Source organism: Homo sapiens, chromosome 1 (genome assembly GCF_000001405.40).
Source record: "Homo sapiens chromosome 1, GRCh38.p14 Primary Assembly".
Lineage (NCBI taxonomy): Eukaryota > Metazoa > Chordata > Mammalia > Primates > Hominidae > Homo > Homo sapiens.
In genome coordinates this window covers 54,608,762-54,624,216 of record NC_000001.11, presented here as the reverse complement: position 1 = coordinate 54,624,216, position 15,455 = coordinate 54,608,762, and the positions used below count along the sequence as shown (strand labels likewise).

Here is a 15,455-nt window from a genome sequence, read left to right as displayed (position 1 = left end):
TGAAGTCTCTGTGCACATTACAGGTGATTCCTGGACTCGTTTAAATTCTGGGGTCCTCAGAATAGGGGCAGCCTCTAACTTGCTTCCCATACCAGGGCCCCCAGAACTCCCTCTGCATGAAGTGGTGACTCAGCCCCTTCCCCATGGACTCGCTGCCCCAGAACCGGCCTGCAGTAACCCATGCCAGCATGCCAGGACTATCCATTTCTATCCCAGGTAGATAATCTGTTAACCATAATCTCAGATGAAAGGAAGATTATTGCCCCTTACGCAGATCTAATCTGTCTTTGTCACCACCCTTGCCTGATAATGCAGGATTCCCTGAGGGCAGGGCAGAAAGCCTGGAGTTAGAAAGGGAAAGAACAGAATGTTCGGGATCACCCAGTCTAGTGCCTCCTTTTACACGGAAGGAAATGATGCCCAGAGACCGGCAGACACTTGCTCCAGGACTCCAGAAAAGCAACAGGGGCTGGGATTGGTCTCCTGACTCCCAAGCAGGGGCAGACAGCCAGGGGTCGGGGCTCGGTCCAACATTCTCTGCTGCCTCTTACTGTGCTCAAAGGTCATTTTAGATATGGTAGATATTCTGGTTAGCCTGTTAAGATCCTGGGAGGGTGTGGGGAAGAGGATTGGGGCGGGGAGGGAGGAGGGGCTTCAGGGGTTATCTCCAGAGGGGATATTACAGGGCTGCAGAGCAGACCAGGCCCGGTGGAGAATTAGGTGCTGCTGGGAGCTCCTGCCTCCCACAGGATTCCAGCTGCAGGGAGCCTCAGGGACTCTGGGCCGCACGGAGTTGGGGGCATTCCCCAGAGAGCGTCGCCATGGTCTGCAGGGAGCAGTTATCAAAGAATCAGGTCAAGTGGGTGTTTGCCGGCATTACCTGTGTGTCTGTGGTGGTCATTGCCGCAATAGTCCTTGCCATCACCCTGCGGCGGCCAGGTAGGTGCCTCCCCCCATGTCATCCTGAGTGGCTTCCCTCATCGCTCGCTCCTTATCCCCACTTCTCACTTACAGCTCTGACCAGTCCCTTTTTTTTTTTTAGACGGAGTTTTGCTCTTGTTGCCCAGGCTGGAGTACAATGGCACGATTCTCGGCTCACTGCAACCTCCGCCTCCCAGGTTCAAGCGATTCTCCTGCCTCAGCCTCCCGAGTAGCTGGGATTACAGGCACCCGCCACCACGCCCAGCTAATTTTTTGTAATTTTAGTAGAGATGGGGTTTCACCATGTTGGCCAGGCTGGTCTCGAACTCCTGACCTCAGGTGATCCACCTGCCTCAGCCTCTCAAAGTGCTGGGATTACAGGTGTGAGTCATCATGCCTGGCCAACCAGCTCTTCTTGAGCCCTCGTCCCCACCAAGCCTCATTCCCCCATCCACAGCTCTTTCTCTCTTCCATCCCCCAACCCTACATGACTTCATCCCCAGCAGAAAGTCCCGTTGACTTCCCCAGCAGAAAGTCCCGTTAACTATTTTTTTTGAGACGGAGTTTTCACTCTTGTCCCCCAGGCTGGAGTGCAATGGTGCAATCTCAACTCACTGCAGCCTCGGCCTCCTGGATCTAAGTGGTTTTCCTGCCTCAGCCCCACAAGTAGCTGGGATCACAGGCGTGTGCAACCATACCCAGCTAATTTTTTGTGGTTTTTTTTTTTGAAACGGAGTCTCTCTCTGTCGCCAGGCTGGAGTGTGATCTTGGCTCACTGCAACCTCCGCCTCCCAGGTTCAAGATATTCTCCTGCTTCAGCCTCCGGAGTAGCTGGGACTACAGGCGTGCGCCACCACGCTCAGCTAATTTTTGTATTTTTAGTACAGACGGGTTTCACCATGTTGGCCAGGATGGTCTTGATCTCTTGACCTCCTGATCTGCCCATCTTGGCCTCCCAAAGTTCTGGGATTACAGGCATGAGCCACCATACCTGGCCTTTTTTTTTTTTTTTTTTTTTTTGAGACAGAGTCTCACTCTGTCACTCAGCCTAGAGTGCGGTGACATGATATCGGCTCACTGCAACCTCCACCCCCTGGGCTCAAGCAATTCTTCCACCTCAGCCTCCCAAGTAGCTGGGATTACAGGTGGGCACCACCACACCAGACTAAATTTTTTGTATTTTTACTAGAGACGGGGTTTCACCATGTTGGCCAGGATGGTCTTGAACTCCTGACCTCAGGTGATCTGCCCACCTTGGCCTCCCAAAGTGCTGGGATTACAGGCATGAGCCACTGTGCCTGGCCCCCTTTAACTTTTTTTACTACTTCACTTGCCTGAAGACCATCAGATCTTGGCTTTCAGCCCAGACCTTCCTCCTGTGCCCTTCTTGGGAGTCACACAAGCAATCTCAAACTCAGCAGACTAGGCTGAGCTCATCTCTTCCCCCCAACAGCTGCTCACCCCTGCAGCCTCTCAGTGAAGGGCTCCTCCATTCACACAGGTACCTGGAGTAGCCACCATGCCCCCACCTCATGCCTGTGTTCCTCAGTCCTGAGCCTCAAGGGCTCTGCCTTTCTGCCCTCTGCCCTCCAGCCCTCCAGCCCTGCCCTGTGAGAAGCTTCGAAGTCTCCTCCTGGACCCCTCTTACAAGGTCCCTCTGCCTGCTTTTGTCAGCTCCTGTTAGCTCTGCAGCCCAGATCTTTCCAAGCAACCCTCGCTCACTGCCCTCAGCACACAGCAACTCCTTTGCTAAAGTTCGAGGCCATTCACAACCTGATCCCAACGTTCTTCCAATCTTTTATCTTTTTTTAAAATTTTATTTATTTATTTATTTATTTTGAGACAGAGTCTTGCTCTGTCGCCCAGACTGGAGTGCAGTAGCATGATCTGGGTTCAGTGCAACCTCCGCCTCCCAGGTTCAAGCAATTCTTTTGCCTCAGCCTCCCCAGTAGCTGGGATTACAGGCATGGACCACCACGCCCAGCTAATTTTTCTATTTTTAGTAGAGATGGGGTTTCACCATGTTGGCCAGGCTGATCGTGAACTCCTGAACTCAGGTGATCCGCCTGCCTCGGTCTCCCAAAGTGCTGGGATTACAGGCGTCAGCCGCCGCGCGCAGGTTTTTTTTTTTTTTTGAGACAGTGTCTCACTGTGTCACCCAGGATGGAGTGCAGTGGCATGATCTCCGGCTCACTGCAACCTCTGTCTCCCAGGTTCAAGTGATTCTCTGCCTTGGCCTCCCCAGTGGTTGGGATTACAGGCGCATGCCACTAAACCCAACTAATTTTTTGTATTTTTAGTAGAGATGGGGTTTCGCCATGTTGCCCAGGCTGGTCTTGAACTCCTGAGCTCAGGCAATCCACCCACCTCGGCTTCCCAAAGTGCTAGGATTACAGGTGTGAGCCACCAAACCCAGCCTTTTTTTTTTTTTTTTTTTTTTTTTTTTTTTTGACAGAGTCTCTTTGTGTCATCCAGGCTGAGTACAGTGGTGCAATCTCGGCTCACTACAACCTCCACCTCTCGGGTTCAGGTGATTCTCCTGCTTCAGCCTCCCGAGTAGCTGGGATTACAGGCTCCTGCCACCACGTCCATCCCGCTAATTTTTGTATGTGTAGTAGAGACATGGTTTCACCATGTTGGCCAGGCTGGTCTCGAACTCCTAATCTCAGGTGATCCACCCACCTCGGCCTCCCAAAGTGCTGGGATTACAGGCTCCTGCCACCACGTCCATCCAGCTAATTTTTGTATGTGTAGTAGAGACATGGTTTCACCATGTTGGCCAGGCTGGTCTCGAACTCCTAATCTCAGGTGATCCACCCACCTCGGCCTCCCAAAGTGCTGGGATTACAGGCATGAGCCACCATGCCCGGCCCCCTCTTCCAATCTTTCCACATTCCACTTTTATGTTCCATCTCTACCAGGCCAATGGCTCTTCAGGCAACTGCACTCTCCTGAAGCCAAGCCTTTGCTTTCTCTCTGTCTGGAATAACCTATTCTCCCTTGTCTGTGAAATTTACACCCATCCTTCAAGGTCTTCCTTAAGTGTTCCCTTCTCTGTGAACCTGCCCCCTTTCCTGACTGCCTCAGGCTGGTAATGAGGCTTCCTTGGGCCCCAGGAGCCCATTCATTTCCCTCTATTGTAGCACCAGTGAGTCTGAGCCTCACCGTCCCTCTGCCAGATGGGGTACTGGACACAGTGGGAGCCCAGGGAGGGTCATGGGATGAACGAACATGAGTCTTGGGCTGGGGCGAGGACAGACGCTAACAGCCCCTTGGGATTCCTTCCAGGCTGTGAGCTGGAGGCCTGCAGCCCTGATGCCGACATGCTGGACTACCTGCTGAGCCTGGGCCAGATCAGCCGGCGAGATGCCTTGGAGGTCACCTGGTACCACGCAGCCAACAGCAAGAAAGCCATGACAGCTGCCCTGAACAGTAAGTCCAGCTGCCAAGACTGAGGCAGGCCAGGGCAAGGGATAGAGAAGACAGAGGGAGAGAAGTGAGGATCAGACACTGGTCACTGTGGTGGCATGATGGCTGTTTACATGTCTTTCAGCATGAGGAAATAGGGGCTCAGAGGGGTTAAGTGACCAGCTCAAGGTTGTGCAGCTGACAAACTCTGAGCTTAGATTTAAACCACATGTCTGACTCCAAAGTAATGACTATACTGTCCTCCCTCCCAGCTACCCCTTCCTCGACCTGTCAGGGACCAAACTGTAAGGAAGCCTTTACCTTCAAAGCCTCAAGAAGCCAGAAATCTGCACTTCAAAAATGGTTACAGTAACCAGTTGGCCAAGGCTCACTGGGCGCACATTACACACAGGTTCTCCTGGGACTACCATGCAATCTGTTTCATGGGTAACATTTCACAGGAGAAAAATAGAGGCTCAGAAAAGTTAGGTGACTTAGCCAAGGTTACACTGTCTGAAAGCAGTTAAGCCAACATTGGAGCCCAGAGTGGTCAGTCCCAGAGTGCACGCTCCAAGCCACTGCGTGACGCTTGACCCCCACCCTCTCCTTCAGGGCTGTTGGGAAGCTCAGTAGATAATGTTCACGAACATGCTAGTGAACTTTAAAGCAGTAGCTATAAAAGATGAAGGGAACAGTCCTCAAACCTGGGCACGTTTCAGAAGACACAGGCTGCTGGCCCCACCCTCAAGTGATGCTGAGGCTGCTGGCCCCAGGACCAACTTTGAGAATCACTGCTCAAGCAAACTCCTTCCATTTCAGACAAGGAAACTGGGGTCTGAGGGCTGGTAGAATGACCAAATCAACCAAAGCAGGGCTCTTTTGAGGTCATTATTAATAATTACGCTGAAGCAACAGAAATATACCAGATGGCCCCTTACACTAGTTAAGCAATCAACTCCATATAAATAATTAACACTTAGTGAATGCCTAACCAGGGATATTTTATTATTTAATTCTTGTAGATGAGGAAACAGGCAAAAAAAGATCAAATAACCTTCCCAAGATCACACAGCTGGAAAGTGTTAGGGTGGGGACTGGAAGCTAGCAGTGTCAATTCACGGTCTGCACACAGCCACCGCGAGCTCCTGCAGATGGGTAAAGCTGGCACAAGGAGGGCTATTGACTCCATGTCCCCTTCCCTCCTGAATATGGCTTCCTGAGGACCAGGGCTACAGCTGTGGCCACAGGAAACAAATCCTTTCCTCTCATCTCTTTCTCCTCCTTCACTTCCCACCCCCAAGCAAGTCAGCCCCCAGGTTCAGCCTCTGGAAGGCAAGTCACAATTTTTAAGGTGAAAAGAGTTTTTGTTTGTTTGTTTGTTTTGAGACAGGATCTTGCTCTGTTGCCCAGGCTGGAGTGCACTGGTGTGATCTTGGCTCACTGCAACCTCCACCTCCCAGGTTCAAGTGATTCTTCCTGCCTTAGCCTCCCGAGTAGCTGGGATTACAGGAACCCACTACCATGCCTGGCTAATTTTTGTATTTTTAGTAGAGATGGGTTTTCACCATGTTGACCAGGCTAGTCTCGAACTCCTAAACTCAAGTGATCCGCCCTTCTCGGGCTCCCAAAGTGCTAGGATTACAGGTCTGAGCCACCGCGCCCGGCTGAGGAGGTGATTTTTTTAAGCCAACACTAAAGGATGAGCAGGAGGTGCCATAGTAAAGTTGAGAGAAGAGTGTTGCCAGGCAACAGCCCAGAGATGGGGAGGACAAAACAAATTAAAGCCTTGCTACCCAACGTGTGGCCCATGGACCAGCAGCAGGCGCATCCCTGGGGAGTGTGTTAAAAATGCAGAATCTCGGGCCAGGCCTGGTGGCTCATGCCTGTAATTCCAGCAGTTTGGGAGGCTGAGGCGGGTGGATCACCTGAGGTCAGGAGTTCGAGACAAGGCTGACTGATATGGTGAAACCGCATCTCCACTAAAAGTACAAAAATTAGCCGTGCATGGTGGTGGTGCATACCTGTAGTCCCAGCTACTCAGGAGGCTGAGGCAGGAGAATCACTTGAACCCAGCAGGCAGAGGTTGCAGTGAGCCGTGATCACGCCACAGCACTCCAGCCTGGGCAACAGAGCGAGACTTCATAAAAAAAAAAAAAAAAAAAAAAAAAAAAAAAAAAATCTCAGGCCCTGCTGCAGACCTAGTGATCAGAACATGCATTTTTACAGTTCCTGGGGGATCTATGTGCACATTAAAGTTGGAGAAGCTGGGTGCCTGGAACTCAGAGAATGAAGGAGAGTGGAACGTGAGATGAAATTGGAAAATCTGGCAGGCCCTGATTGTACAGACCACGAAGACTATGATAAAGAGTTTGGGTTTCAAGTTTAGAGCAATGGGTAGGTTTTCTGGCCTTTTTTTTTTTTTTTTTAACAGAAAGTGACATGATCAGGTACATATTTAGGACACTCACTTTGCCGGCTCTATAGAGAACAGACTTGCAGGGAAGCAGTGCTAGAGGTGAGAAGAATGGTCAGGAGTCAGGGAGAAAGCAGGAGAAAAGGCCCCTTCTGGCATCAGTCGTTTGTGATGCTGCAAGGGCCAAAAGCGGCCCCTCTCCCCTCCACTACACTCTTCAAGTGTGAGTGCCCCTTGCATGATTATCTAGAGACAGCTTCCCATTAGAAAGGTCTGAGCTCCCTACTAGACTGAATTCTTGAAGGCAGGAATCAGAAGATGTCCACCTGATTGAGTTAACTATGTGAAGCTAAAAGATAACTCAGTGTCAGTGATGATGTGGTGAGATGGGCAACCTTGTGCAGGAACAAGAATCAGAACAACTTTTCCGGAAAGCAGTTTGATAACATGGGCTTTAAAAATGACCCTGTGGGCTGGGCACTGAGACTCACCTGTAATCTCAACACTTTGAGAGGCCAAAGTGGGAGGATTGCTTGAGCCCAGGAGTTCAAGACCAGACAGGGCAACATAGCAAGACTAATAGCAAAAATCAGAAACTTACCAAAGCATCTCAGGGATGGGGGATGATCAACTACATAGTAGTGAACACCCTCAACCAGGGCTTTTGAAGCTTTTTGCTTTTTTGCCTTGTTTGCTCTAAAGAGATGCATAAAAAAAGATCGTGGAAATGTGTCATAATGTTGAAAAAACATAAAAAATTATAAATGCAGTGGAGTCTCAACTGTGTAAAAACTATGCATAGGGCCGGGCACGGTGGCTCACGCCTGTAATCCCAGCACTTTGGGAGGCTGAGGTGGGCGGATCACTTGAGGTCAGGAGTTCTGAGAGCAGCCTGGCCAATATGGTGAAACCCCGTCTCCACTAAATACAAAAATTAGCTAGGCATGGTGGCACACGCCTGTAAATTCCAGCTACTTGGGAGGCTGAGGCAGGAGAATTTCAAGAATTGCTTGAAACTGGGAGGTGGAGCTTGTAGTGAGCCAAGATCACACCACTGCACTCCAGCCTGGGCGATAGAGCAAGACTCCGTCTCAAAAAAAAAACAAAAACCTATGCATAGAAGAAAATGGAAGAAAAAAAATCATCGAAATGTGAAACTATGATGGAAGTGTGGGTGAATATTTTCCTCTTCCACTTTTCTGTATTTCTCAAATGTTCTGTAATTTGTAATGCTTTTATGATGAGAAAGAAGTTTTCTTTTTTTAAAAAAAGGAACTCACTGAGTTGTTGCCCCTTCCACAGGCAACATCACAGTCCTGGAGGCTGACGTCAATGTAGAAGGGCTCGGCACAGCCAATGAGACAGGAGTTCCCATCATGGCACACCCCCCCACTATCTACAGTGACAACACACTGGAGCAGTGGCTGGACGCTGTGCTGGGCTCTTCCCAAAAGGGTAAGGGCCTCTCTGGAAACCCTCTCCGGCCCCCAGCCCTCTGGCCCTGGGGCAGCATGTGCAGAGATCCCTCACTGGGAAGCAAGTCCAGCCCTGACACGAGGTGCTCATTGCCTTGGCTTTCTCATCACAATGTTATAGATGCCCAGGCTCAGTGAGGACTAGGCGAGATGGGGAGCATGTCAGTGCAGGTCCTGGTGTTTTCTCCTGGACACAGAGGGGAGACAGCCGGCAGTACAGTGTGAACTGCAAAGTGCCGCGCATGCTCAGAGTGCTCCCTCCTGTATCCACAGAACTGGACGTAACATGTTCAAAGCCCAGCCCCACCCTTCCCCTCTGCACCCCTTCACCAGTCACAGTCAGAATCCAGGCGTCACCATAATGCCTCCCTCTCCCTCATCCTCACGGCAACTCAGTTGCTGCATCCACCAATCCTAACCCCTAACCCTGCCCCCATCTAGTCGCAGCAACACTGTATCTCTCCAGGACCTCCCTCCTCACTGGCTTCCTGCCCCAAATTCAGCCCTTCCAGGCTTCCCTTGACTACCATGACCACACACACGCACCTGAAGGATCTTTTCAAAACACCAGTTTTGTCATGCCACGCCTCTCTTTTAACCCTCCGTGGCTCCCCATTGTCCTCAGGAAAAAGTGTGATCTTGGCCTGGCTTTCAACATCCCTCTATATCTTCCTAGCCTCATCTCCTCACCACCCTGAAAAGTACCAAGTCCTTTCTCTGCAGAGATCTCCTCCTCTACTCAAATGCACCTTCTTGGAGGCTGAGTAACCTCCCTACAGGCTCTGGTGGTTTAGGACCCTCTGAGTCTGCCCTGCTCAGGAACCACAGGCCCTTTTCAGCAGAGACTTGATTCCCAGCTGCAGCAGCCACAAGCCCAAGTCCTTACCTGGCCTCTGTTTCCTCCCCGCAGGAGATGGGAACTCCTCTAGAGGCAGGCCCTTCTTCTCTGAGTTAGCTCTGTCTCTTCGAAAGGCCTTCCTCACACCCTGCAGGGATGTGGTGCTGGTCCTTCCGCCCTCCCCTGACTCCACTGTGCACGCACATGCACACACACACACACCCGCTCTGCTTTCTGCCCAGGGAGTCATGTATTCCTAGTTCCTTCGCCATTTCCCCAAGCCCTTGTTCCTTTCCCCACAGGCATCAAACTGGACTTCAAGAACATCAAGGCAGTGGGCCCCTCCCTGGACCTCCTGCGGCAGCTGACAGAGGAAGGCAAAGTCCGGCGGCCCATATGGATCAACGCTGACATCTTAAAGGGCCCCAACATGCTCATCTCAACTGAGGTCAATGCCACACAGTGAGTGTTCGCCTCTCTGTCCCAGCTGTGTCCAGCCCTCTTCTGTCAACACCTACCACAGGATGGGGATCTTAGGGGACCTCTGAGTTTGTCTCCAATCATACTATATATAGCCTCACCTCTGAGCCTTTGCACATGCTGTTCCCTCTTCCTCCAATGCCTTTCCCCCCTTTTCTGACAAACCACTGGCCAGTCATTATCTCCTAGAAACTTCCTTGACATCTTAGGCCACTGCAGGACTTCCTCTGGGCCCCTCAACCCCTACACTTCCTTCTAACACAGCCCTGACTTCATGGGGCTGTCACTGGGTGTTCATAGATTTGTCACCCCTACTACATTGAACTCCTGGAGGGCAGACAGGGCCAAGTGCCCCCTTGTATTCCCCAGTGACCAGCACAGGATTTGGCCTGCTAGAGAAGTCTAAAACCTTGATTCCTTCCCCAGCTGGAATTCCCCTCATGAATTCCAGCACCGCTGCTCACAGCCCTCACATACAGTAGTTGCACAGTGCTCTACAGTTTACAAAGAGAGAGAATGTCTTTGATCTCATCCTTACATAGCACTGCCAGGTTAGGGCTTTCTCCCCATATTGCAGATGATAAAGCTGACAATAGTGGAAGCTCAATTTGTTCGAAGTTTATTATGTGTCCCAGAACTGTTTTAAGCACTTGACTTGCAGAACACCGTTTAACTCTTATGAGAATGAGGTAGGTAGTATTACTTTTATTTTATTAATGCAGGAACTATATTATAGAAGTTAAAAGACCTGCCTAAGTCTGGTAAGTGGCAGAGCAAAGATTCAAACCCAGGCCTTTCTGATTCTAAGCTCCAGGCTCTTTCCCATCCATCTCTTCCTCCATCCATCCAATTTATTATTGTGCTTCTCAAGCTGAGGTGCCTTCCAAAAATAGCAGTTTGGAAAATGTAATCAATGGCCCAAGATAAATATGACCTGTCTTCCTGGAGTGCTAATTTTACTCAGTAGGGTTTTTTTGGGTGGGCAGTGGGTGGCAACATAATTTGCCTATTAAAGTTTGCATCTTTTGAAGAAGAAAAGTACAAAGAAAAAAACTAAAATATTTTCATCAAGGCAAAGTTCAAATAAAATTTTAGGCTGGGCACAGTGGCTCACACCTATAATCCCAGTACTTTGGGAGGCCAAGGTGAGCGGATCCCTTGAACTCAGGAGTTTGAGACCAGCCTGGGCAACACAGCGAGACCACGTATAGAAAGAAAAGAGAGAAAGACATGAAGGGAAGAAAAGGGAGGGAGGGAAGGAGGGAGGAAAGCAGGAAGACAGGAAAAAAAGTTTTTTTTTTTTGAGATGGAGTCTCACTCTGTTGCCCAAGTTGGAATGCAATGGCACGATCTCAGCTCACCACAACCTCCGCCTCCTGGGTTCAAGCGATTTTCCTGCCTCAGCCTCCCAAGTAGCTGGGATTATAGCCATGCGCCACCACGTTCAGCTAATTTTGTATTTTTAGTAGAGACAGGGTTTCTCCATGTTGGTCAGGCTGGTCTCGAACTCCCAACCTCAGGTGATTCACCTGCCTCAGCCTCCCAAAGTGCTGGGATTACAGGTGTGAGCCACCACACCTGGCAGGAGGGAGATTTTTAAAGAAAACCTGAGAAACTTCAGAGACTCCCAGCTGGCAGAGCTCAGATTCCCACACGCTGGGGGCTCTGAGTCAGTTTCCTGTCTATATGAGGATGTTTAAGAAGCCTGCCCTGCTGGAAGGGATGCTGTCTATGAGGCTGAGTTACCTGCCCAAGATCAGAATCAGGATCTGAACCCAGACTTCCCTGACTCCAAAGTCCACGCCCAATTTATGGGACCTGAAACAAGCCATTCTGTCCTTTGGGACTCTGCTTCTGACCTTATCATAGATCCAATAGGCTCTGCCACTCCCTAGCACTGTGATGAGACCCCAGAGGAGAGGAAGGGGCCGCTGCAGCTCCGTGAGACCAACATCTCTGATTTTTTTGCAGGTTCCTGGCCCTGGTCCAGGAGAAGTATCCCAAGGCTACCCTATCTCCAGGCTGGACCACCTTCTACATGTCCACGTCCCCAAACAGGACGTACACCCAAGCCATGGTGGAGAAGATGCACGAGCTGGTGGGAGGAGTGCCCCAGAGGGTCACCTTCCCTGTACGGTCTTCCATGGTGCGGGCTGCCTGGCCCCACTTCAGCTGGCTGCTGAGCCAATCTGAGAGGTGAAAACCACCAAACCCACCCCCACCCTCCTGGAGGCACTGATGCCCCCAGCAAGATCCCAGAAGCTCATGGCTGGAAGGGTCTTAAAGGTCATTTCGTCCAACCCCTGCCAGTGCTCATGCCCTCTGCAGAGTCCCTGCTTTCTGCTTGCATACCTCTGGTGACGGGCTACTCACTACCTCCCAAGAGAGCCCTTTCATTGGTGGGTAATTCTCTGCCCTCTGGAAAATATTTATACCAAGACACAATTTGTCTCCCCACAGCTTCCTCCAATAGGAGCCCGCTGTACCCCTGGGGCTACACAGATTGTGCCTTTAACCCCTGCCCTAGGATAGCCCTATAGGAATTTAGAGACTCCCCTGCCCCCACTATACCCCCTACCTTCCATAGGACTCCCAAAGCTGCCCCCTCCCCCTCTTGATGCCTGACCTACCCTTCCACACCCTCCCCCATCTGTCCTGCCCCTTTCCTAAGACAGGACTCAGAAATAGACACTGCAAGTGAGGAGGCAGCACAGGCTCCCCCTCCCTCCTGGGCCTCTGCTTTCAGTCATCTTTCCTGAATTCCCTCTGGCTCCTGCCCTTGGGAAGGGGTAGGACTCAGGGAGAAGTGGCAGGTGGGCGACTGGAGGACAGATGCTCTACCCTGCGCCCAGCTGACATCCAGTTCTGAGCACAGGAGTGGGGCTGAGGGTCTTGCTGGGCCCAGACAGGCACTGAGCCAGCTCTCGTGTCCCCAGGTACAGCCTGACGCTGTGGCAGGCTGCCTCGGACCCCATGTCGGTGGAAGATCTGCTCTACGTCCGGGATAACACTGCTGTCCACCAAGTCTACTATGACATCTTTGAGCCTCTCCTGTCACAGTTCAAGCAGCTGGCCTGTAAGGAGAGGAATTGGGAAGGGTGGTGTGGGCTGGATTCTGCATGGAGCAGCACCTGGTGGGCACTGGAGCAGAGCTGGGTGGAAGGGATATCAGAAGGGGGAAGGCCGGGGTGGGACAGGAGGCGGCTGCATTTTGTGTGCCAGGCCCTGGGATGGTATGCTAAGCTTCAAACATCCATTTTATTTTTATTTATTTATTTTTTTGAGATGTAGTCTGACTCTGTCACCCAGGCTGGAGTGCAGCGGCGCAATCTCGGCTCCCTGTAACCTCCGCCTCCTGGGTTCAAGCGATTCTCCTGCGCCACCATGCCCGGCTAATTTTTGTATTTTTAATAGAGATGGGGTTTCACCATGTTGGGCCAGGCTGGTCTCGAACTTCTGCCCTCAAGTGATCCGCCCGCCTTGGCCTCCCAAAGTACTGGGATTACAGGCATGAGCCACCTGCCTGACCCACACATTCATTTTATAGAGAAACTGAGGGATTCCATTTTATAGAGAAACAGCGGCTCAAAACAGTTCAGGAATTTATACAGTCACTCAGCTTTTATGTGGCCCAGCAGGTAGGAAACCAGCAAATTCCAAACCCCCCATTATTTCCCTTGGTGCATAGCTCCACTGCTGGTTACTCTAATGTTTCAGAGGCCTCCACTGTATTCATTAAGCAGTGATCAGATGCCACTATCCAAACCCCTCATTCCCTTGACCCCGAACCCAGAAGAGCCGCAGTTAAGCCATCTCAAAGAGGCCCCATCAGACTCAGCATTCCTGCCATGGGAGCCACCTAAGCGAGCGGGAAGGATACCAGCTCTGGAGCCAGGCAGACCTGGTCCCATCAGGTTCCACTCCTGGCAACTTTGCTTACTGCTTATAAGACCTTGGGCAAGTCACTTCTTCTAGTCTACAAGGCAAGGAAATGAGAGCTACTTGGCAGGGTGCTATGAGGCTTAGAGAGGATGCCCGTAGAGCTGTGGCCTATGGGACCCTAGCAACCAGGTAAGGTGTTCTGTGAATGGCAGCCACTTCACCTTGGCGATTTGGGGCCCCACAGTGAATGCCACACGGAAACCAATGTACTACACGGGAGGCAGCCTGATCCCTCTTCTCCAGCTGCCTGGGGATGACGGTCTGAATGTGGAGTGGCTGGTTCCTGACGTCCAGGGCAGCGGTAAAACAGCAACAATGACCCTCCCAGGTAAGGTCTACCCTTCAGCCCCGGTGCTCCCAGCTCATCTGCAGGGGTGTCCTTTGCTTGGGGCAGGTACCGCCGGTCTCTGTTGCCATGGCAACACAGGTTTATTTACACCATACCCTGGATGCAAGGTGGGGCAGGGTTGCGGGGAGGGAGAGGGAGTACAGTGATGTCAAGAGCACAGGGCTCCTGGCCTTCAGACCAGTCCTCAGCTACATTGCTGCAGGCAAGGCCGGCACCAGCCCCCAGGCTGAGTCATGGGTAAAGGCCAAGAGCTGAAACAAGAGTTTCTCATGCACCAGGCACATTTATAAAGCAACCCATCCACCTGGAGCCCAAAACTGGGTTGACAGATTCCAGAGAGGCAAGGTCCTTGATGACCCCATAACTCCCACTGCCCCTTTAACAAGGGACTCTTAACACCTTATGATAACCCAAATCCTAAACACTGTTGCCTCTGCCGCCTCTTCCAGACACAGAAGGCATGATCCTGCTGAACACTGGCCTCGAGGGAACTGTGGCTGAAAACCCCGTGCCCATTGTTCATACTCCAAGTGGCAACATCCTGACGCTGGAGTCCTGCCTGCAGCAGCTGGCCACACATCCCGGACACTGGGGCATCCATTTGCAAATAGCGGAGCCCGCAGCCCTCCGGCCATCCCTGGCCTTGCTGGCACGCCTCTCCAGCCTTGGCCTCTTGCATTGGCCTGTGTGGGTTGGGGCCAAAATCTCCCACGGGAGTTTTTCGGTCCCCGGCCATGTGGCTGGCAGAGAGCTGCTTACAGCTGTGGCTGAGGTCTTCCCCCACGTGACTGTGGCACCAGGCTGGCCTGAGGAGGTGCTGGGCAGTGGCTACAGGGAACAGCTGCTCACAGATATGCTAGAGTTGTGCCAGGGGCTCTGGCAACCTGTGTCCTTCCAGATGCAGGCCATGCTGCTGGGCCACAGCACAGCTGGAGCCATAGGCAGGCTGCTGGCATCCTCCCCCCGGGCCACCGTCACAGTGGAGCACAACCCAGCTGGGGGCGACTATGCCTCTGTGAGGACAGCATTGCTGGCAGCTAGGGCTGTGGACAGGACCCGAGTCTACTACAGGCTACCCCAGGGCTACCACAAGGACTTGCTGGCTCATGTTGGTAGAAACTGAGCACCCAGGGGTGGTGGGCCAGCGGACCTCAGGGCGGAGGCTTCCCACGGGGAGGCAGGAAGAAATAAAGGTCTTTGGCTTTCTCCAGGCACTGTATGTGAGTCCTTGGGGACAGGATGGAGTGGGAGTGGGCATGATGTGGCCACTGAGGGCATCTAGAGGGTCTGGAGGCTGGGGGCCAGATCATTCCGGTTGTCCAAGAGAAACTGCTCACAAGCCTTGAAGGTGGTGTAGAACTCAGAGGAGAGGCCGGCCACGTTGGTGGTCACATAGTTGAGAACACCTGGGGTGGCCTGGTTGTAGTAGGATACCTGCAGGGTGGGAAGCCAAGCTCAGGGGGACCAAGCTAGGGGAGGGTCCTGGGAAGGGGTGGGAGCCCAGTGGGCACGAGGCTGGTGGTGAGTCAGCCTTGCTGGCCTTCTGGGAGGGCAGAATATTCAACCCAACTCCCCAGGGTCTTAGATTACACAGTTGCCCAGCATGACCTCCTCCAGCTGATCTCCCCC

General features: G+C 52.0%; 2 protein-coding genes across 4 annotated transcripts in view, besides 1 other annotated feature; one reads left to right on the top strand and one right to left on the bottom strand.

Moving 5' to 3' along the window:
• Positions 1 to 15,455, bottom strand: part of ACOT11 (acyl-CoA thioesterase 11) — a 90,965-nt gene that overhangs the window by 14,976 nt on the left and 60,534 nt on the right. Inside the window, exon 16 of one of the 2 annotated variants that reach the window (NM_147161.4) lies at positions 13,888 to 15,260. The exons of the other annotated variant lie outside the window; for it this stretch is intronic. Within the exon in view, the coding sequence (NP_671517.1) occupies positions 15,105 to 15,260 (156 nt within the window). The 3' untranslated portion in view covers positions 13,888 to 15,104. Of the gene's footprint in view, positions 1 to 13,887; positions 15,261 to 15,455 lie in introns of those variants that run through there. 2 annotated transcript variants of the gene reach the window in all.
• FAM151A (family with sequence similarity 151 member A) lies at positions 692 to 15,036 on the top strand. Of its 2 annotated transcripts, none has more exons than NM_176782.3 (8): positions 692 to 939; positions 4,210 to 4,353; positions 8,045 to 8,197; positions 9,358 to 9,517; positions 11,507 to 11,731; positions 12,472 to 12,611; positions 13,662 to 13,805; positions 14,276 to 15,036. In NM_176782.3, exons 1-8 carry the CDS (start codon positions 822 to 824, stop codon positions 14,947 to 14,949), a joined length of 1,758 nt encoding a protein of 585 aa, NP_788954.2. In that variant the 5' UTR covers positions 692 to 821; the 3' UTR covers positions 14,950 to 15,036. The 2 variants fall into 2 exon arrangements, with proteins under 2 accessions (NP_788954.2, XP_047275095.1); XM_047419139.1 differs by lacking the exon at positions 692 to 939 and adding an exon at positions 1,078 to 1,118.
• Positions 1,305 to 1,574: an enhancer, noted in NCBI's record as "active region_1065". NCBI's record gives its function as "activates an Ori minimal core promoter by ATAC-STARR-seq in GM12878 lymphoblastoid cells {active_cell/tissue: GM12878}" and the evidence as "EXISTENCE:reporter gene assay evidence [ECO:0000049][PMID:35858748]".